At 43.8% G+C, this 5,573-nt stretch overlaps 1 annotated feature.

Moving 5' to 3' along the window:
* Window positions 692-1,415: an enhancer, noted in NCBI's record as "NANOG hESC enhancer chr15:88369377-88370100 (GRCh37/hg19 assembly coordinates)". NCBI's record gives its function as "activates a minimal SCP1, AML or CMV promoter by ChIP-STARR-seq in naive H9 embryonic stem cells {active_cell/tissue: H9 hESC(naive)}" and the evidence as "EXISTENCE:reporter gene assay evidence [ECO:0000049][PMID:30033119]".

Below are 5,573 nucleotides of genomic sequence, written 5' to 3' on the forward strand. Positions count from 1 at the left end.
GAGATGTTCAAGAATACCTCTCTGTTATTCAAAGTTCCTCCTTCTATGTTAAAGCTTAGGAGACAGCACAGACTTCAGGACGCATCTGCCTGGACCAAATTCTGGCATCCTTGTAGGTGATCTTGGACATCTAACTTAATCTTCTTGGACTTTTAATTCTCCCTTTGGACAGTAACTACCTCCTGTAGATATTGTGAGAATTCAATGAGTTATGACATGCAAAACTTGTATTATGGAATGTAGTAAGAACTCAATAAATGTTAGCTCTATTACTATGACTAGCTAGCTCTCTAATATCATCATTATTATTTTTCTCAACTTCCAATTCCAGTTCCTCTTCTCCACCCTCATGTTGCTCTAGCCAGTGCATTGTACACACCATCCTGAGAAAACCCAGCATTCTGAGTTCCAGTCCATCCAATGCCCAGCTCCAGGCAGTTATATTATTCGGAACTATGTGATATCACATATATAAAATTGTTTCTGACCTACAAAAATGGGACTTTCATATAGTTTGATCTAATAGACTCCAACTCCTTTTGTCCTTAAAATGGAAAGACATAAACAAAGGTATCTTGCTAGCCTCATAGAAGAGAAAGTTTAAAGTGATTTTTTTAAAACTTTAAATCCAGCTGGAAAAAGCTATGGAAGTGTATGCCTTTTGTAGTTTCTCTGACAAGTAAGAAGCAGGAGCCCAGGAAATGGATTCCCTCTGGGAGGCAATAGGCCCCGGAGCCCACCTCTGTGATGTGAGGCAAGATGGGGAGTGACGAGTGAGCCCGCCTTCCACCTCTGTGTGCAGACAAAGAGTCTCTGATGGAATTTGGCCCTGAACACAATAGTGAGCACTTTGGCTTCTAAAGAACAAGGAGGAGGATTCTTGAAAGATCGTGAGACAGAGAACAAGAGGAACTGTTCTCAGAACATCCAGACTGTCCTCTTCAGCTCCCTTAAAGAGAGCCTTCAGATTGACTTAGGGCAGGTGGGCAGGGCGGCTGTCTCAGGCTCCTAACTCACCTCCTTTGAAGCCTTGCTTAGATCTGCTCCTTCTTCCAGAAAGCCCCGCCTGCCTCCCTCCCCTGTGTTAACACCTCATTAGCACCCTGCCAGCAAGGAAATCTATTTAAACAGCTCTTGCTGACACAGCATGCCTCCCCTTCGCATGGAGGATTCTCTTTCAATCCCCTTCTGATGGCACAGTTGAGCATGGGCCCTGCCCAGCTCGGCTCCAAGATGCCTGCTCTCTGATCTCACTCTGCCCAAGCCCTGTCAGTGCCACTGTCTCTCATGCCTTCCAGCTCTTGTTGGGGGTAGGATCCTCCTAGGATCAGGCTGCATGTGATTCTAGCAATCTTAGTCTCCTTCTTGGATTTTTGTCTGTACACATAGATGCAGAAGGACCACCTTCTCAACATGCTACTAAAGGACTTCAGGGATGTCCATTCCATCAGCAAAACCCATTCTCCTCGATTTGGGTAACTATATTTCTAAGAGTTGCTGAAATACAGTACATATGGTAAATATGGTCACAGGAGCATTAGCAGCCATTGACTCTTTGCCTTTCTTTGGTCTGTTCGTCCAAATGACTTCCATAAATGTGACTCTATTTTGGGTTTGCTCCAGTCTCAGTTTCTTTTGCTGTGGGAGGTATTAGGACAGTGGGGTTGGATGGGAATTGGCAACCATTGATCCGGACAGGGAATATCTGCAATGGTGACTCTCAGAAGCATGTGACTTTAAGAGAACAACCCTGTAATCTTAGAGTAGCTGAAAAGTATGAAGTATTTGTGCGTATACTGGAGGATGGCAAAAAAAGGTATACAACCAGTACTACTGGAGCTTGCTGAAATATTTCCAATCTTTGGTCCTGTGAGTCATCCCTCAGCAATGTTAGAGTTTAGACCATGTAGTAGACTTTTGGAGCCTGCATAGCCATGGTGCCTTCTAAGTGAAATGCCAGCACCCACTCAAAGGTCAGGCTTAGGCAGCCATATTCTGTGGCACATGTCCCTTTTCCTTAACCCAGCTGACAGTACCAGAGTGAGCACCTAACCAGGGTGGTCCTTCCATAGACGTGTCATGAAAAGATAACATGAGACTATTATTAGGTGAATGCAAAACTAATTACGGTTTTTACATTGTTGGACTTTGCCATTTGATATTGGATACACCATATTAATGGGCATTTCTTGCTTTATGGTTTTTTGCTGACTTACTACCTACCATTTATTTTATGTATATTTTAGACTATGGAAATGATGTTAGACAAAAAGCAAATTCAAGCGATTTTCTTATTAGAGTTCAAAATGGGTCGTTCAAAATCAAAGCAGCTGAGACAACTCACAACATCAGCAACGCATTTGGCTCAGGTACTGCTAACAAATGTACAGTGCAATAGTGGTTCAAGAAGTTTTGCAAAGGAGATGAGAGCCTTGAAGATGAGGAGCTAGTGGCCAGCCATCAGAAATTGACAATGACCAATGGAGAGCAATCATCAAAGATGATGCTCTTACAACTACACAAGAAGTTTCCGAAGAACTCAAGTCAACCATTCTACAATTGTTCCACATTTGAAGCAAATTGGACAAGTAAAAAGCTCAATAAGTGGATACCTCATGAGCTGAGTGAAAATTAAAAAAAAATTGTCATTTTGAAGTGTCATCTTCTCTTATTCTACACAACAATCAACCATTTCTTGATCAGATTGTGATGTGTGACAAAAAGCAGATTTTATAGATAACCAATGATGACCAGCTCAGTGGTTGGACTGAGAAGATGCTCCAAAGCACTTCCCAAAGCCAAACTTGCATCAAAAAAAGGTCATGCTCCCTGTTTGGTGGCCCTGCTGCCTGTCTCATCCACCACAGCTTTTTGAATCCCAAAGAAACCATTACATCTGAGAAGTATGCTCAGCAAATTGACGAGATGCACCAAAAACTGCAATGCCTGCAGCTGGCATTGGACAACAGACAGGGCCCAATTCTTCTCCCTGACAACGCCCAACCACAGGTTATTCAACCAATGCTTCAAAAGTTGAACGAATTGGACTACGACGTTTTGCCTCCTCTATCATATTCACCTGACCTCTCGCCAACCTAGTACCACTTCTTCAAGCATCTCGACAACTTTTTGCAGGGGAAATGCTTCCACAACCAGCAGGATGCAGAAAATGCTTTCCAACAGTTTTTCAAATCCCAAAGCACGAATTTTTACGCTACAGAAATAAACAAACTTATTTCTCATTGGCAAAAATGTGTTGATTGTAGTGGTTTCTATTTTGGTTAATAAAGATGTGTTTGAGCCTAGTTATAATGATTTAAAAATCATGATCCAAAACCGCAATTACTTTTGCACCAATCATTTTCTTTGTCCAATTGAGACACACAGAAACATGGAGTGAACAGTGGCAAAAAGTATGAGTAAGTAAGCCATGGAAATACAGCTGGATACAGACAAGCTGTGTATAAGCCAAATTTATGAGCAACTGGAATGATGAGTACACAGGGGAGGTTGTGCAGAGAATGAAGCAGATGCCCAGAGAGGAGGAGAGGTACTATGAGAAGAGGAGAAGCGAGAAGGAGAGAAAGAAGGCAATGAGGGAAGGGACACCATGCAACAATCTTATGGGAGAGAAAGATGAAAGAAAAGAGCAAGAGTGAGACTGAAAGACAGAGAGAGAGAGAGAGAGAGAGAGAGAGAGAGAATGTAAAGCTGCTCCCAACAATGGCAACTCCTTAACTCCTTTAGTTCTCACTAATATGAGAAGTTTGACAGCAAGAGGGGCTTTGACAGCAAAGTCCCTTTTCCGAAGTTACCTGAACATCTTCTGTCCTTGCCACCAGAAGACATCAGCTAAAGCAGACTGCTAGAAGATGAACATGCCACTCCTCAATACAGATGTATAAATGGAAAATTACGGGAAGTATTCAGTCCTGTCACACAGCCCCTCCTTTGACACCCTAGGGGCCAGCGATGTTTGAGGATGCAGACCTTTCCAGGCTTTAGGAAGGGCAAGCATCCTTATATATATTGCACATTCCACAGCACCCCCGTAGGGTCTAGGGCAGCACCCGTAATCAAACACATAAATATTCCTACAGTGCAATGTGTGAATATTCACACTAAACAGATAACCTCACATCAGATAAGGTCAAGTTTTGCAGCCAAATGCATTCAGCTCAGGTCAGGTTTTTCTGCCAATTAAGTTATAAGAAAAGTTTCCATTTTCTGAGCTCTTTGGATTTCAGAATTGTAGATAAGGTATTCTGGGCCTGTTCTGTCTGCCAGGAAAGTATCAAACTCACTGTCTGTGGCCTTCTTTCAAACAAAAACAAGGAAGCTCTGTTGATGCCTTCTTGGGCAGTTGAAATGATGTCCACACAGGAAGCAGCCAGAGGGCCTTGGGGTGTGGCCAACACCCCTGCTGGCAGCACAGTTCCTGCTTGGAGAGCTCTGGGTTCTGACAACTGGCTGCCTATCCATGTGTACTCATTCACCTTGACCTTCCTGCAGAAAATTGATTCCTTTCACAAGACTCAAAAAATCTGCTCCTGATCCCCAAGAGGGAACTGGCCAGAGTTGTAGGTCCTGTGCCAAAGGACCTCATTAGCCCGGCCCACTGTGGGAACTTAAGCTCTCCTGGGGCTGCCTCAGCCTCCGTGGCCCCCACTGCAATTGCTTTATTAGGTGTACTCACCTGCATGCATTTGCTAAGAGTGAAGGGCCTCATGGGGTAAAGAGCCCTTCCCCAGGGGCTCTGTCTTTCTGAACCTCTTTAGGGGAGAAGACTGACATCCACTTGGTTTGTTCTGATGGGGGAGGGGTGCTTCAGCCAGTGGGGTCTGTGGATTCACCTTAATTCACCACACCTTTAGTGAGCACTTCTATGTGCTCACTAAAGAGAGACCCTGGTCTAGACACTTTAGGGAGCCCACAGACAAATAAGAAATAAGACACAGCCACTGTCCCGAAGGGAGGGGAAGGGAAGTAATACAACTCCTTGTGGCATGCTGTTTGCATACATTCACACACATGGCACTCTTGGAGCTCTGGAGAGCTTGGTGGGTGAATCTGACATCATAGGGGCTACTTGGGCAATGGAAGATCTCCCTTCCTTGAGACCAGATCTGTGGAGCTAGAAGCACAACCTCAAAACCAAGAGCCCCACCATGCACAGGTAGAATTCTCCTATGGTTTTCTCTTTTTTAAAATGTCCCCATACCTCAGACCTGAAACCATGAAACTCTTAGAAGAAAACATACAGAAAATCTCCTTCACACGGACCTTGGCAATGATTTGTTTTTTGGATGAGACAACCAAAAGCACAGGTAACAAAGCAAAACTAAACAAGTGGGACCACATCAAACTAAAATGCTTCTATACAGCAAAGGAAACAATCAACAGAGTGAAAAGGCAGCCAAAGAATGGGAGGGTATATTTGTGGGCCATGTATCTGATAAGAGGTTAATATCCAAAATATATAAGGAACTCACAGAACTCAATAGTAAACACACGGGGGAGAAGACAAGATGGCCGAATAGGAACAGCTCCAGTCTACAGCTCCCAGCGTGAGC

The sequence above is a fragment of the Homo sapiens genome, chromosome 15 (genome assembly GCF_000001405.40).
Source record: "Homo sapiens chromosome 15, GRCh38.p14 Primary Assembly".
NCBI lineage: Eukaryota > Metazoa > Chordata > Mammalia > Primates > Hominidae > Homo > Homo sapiens.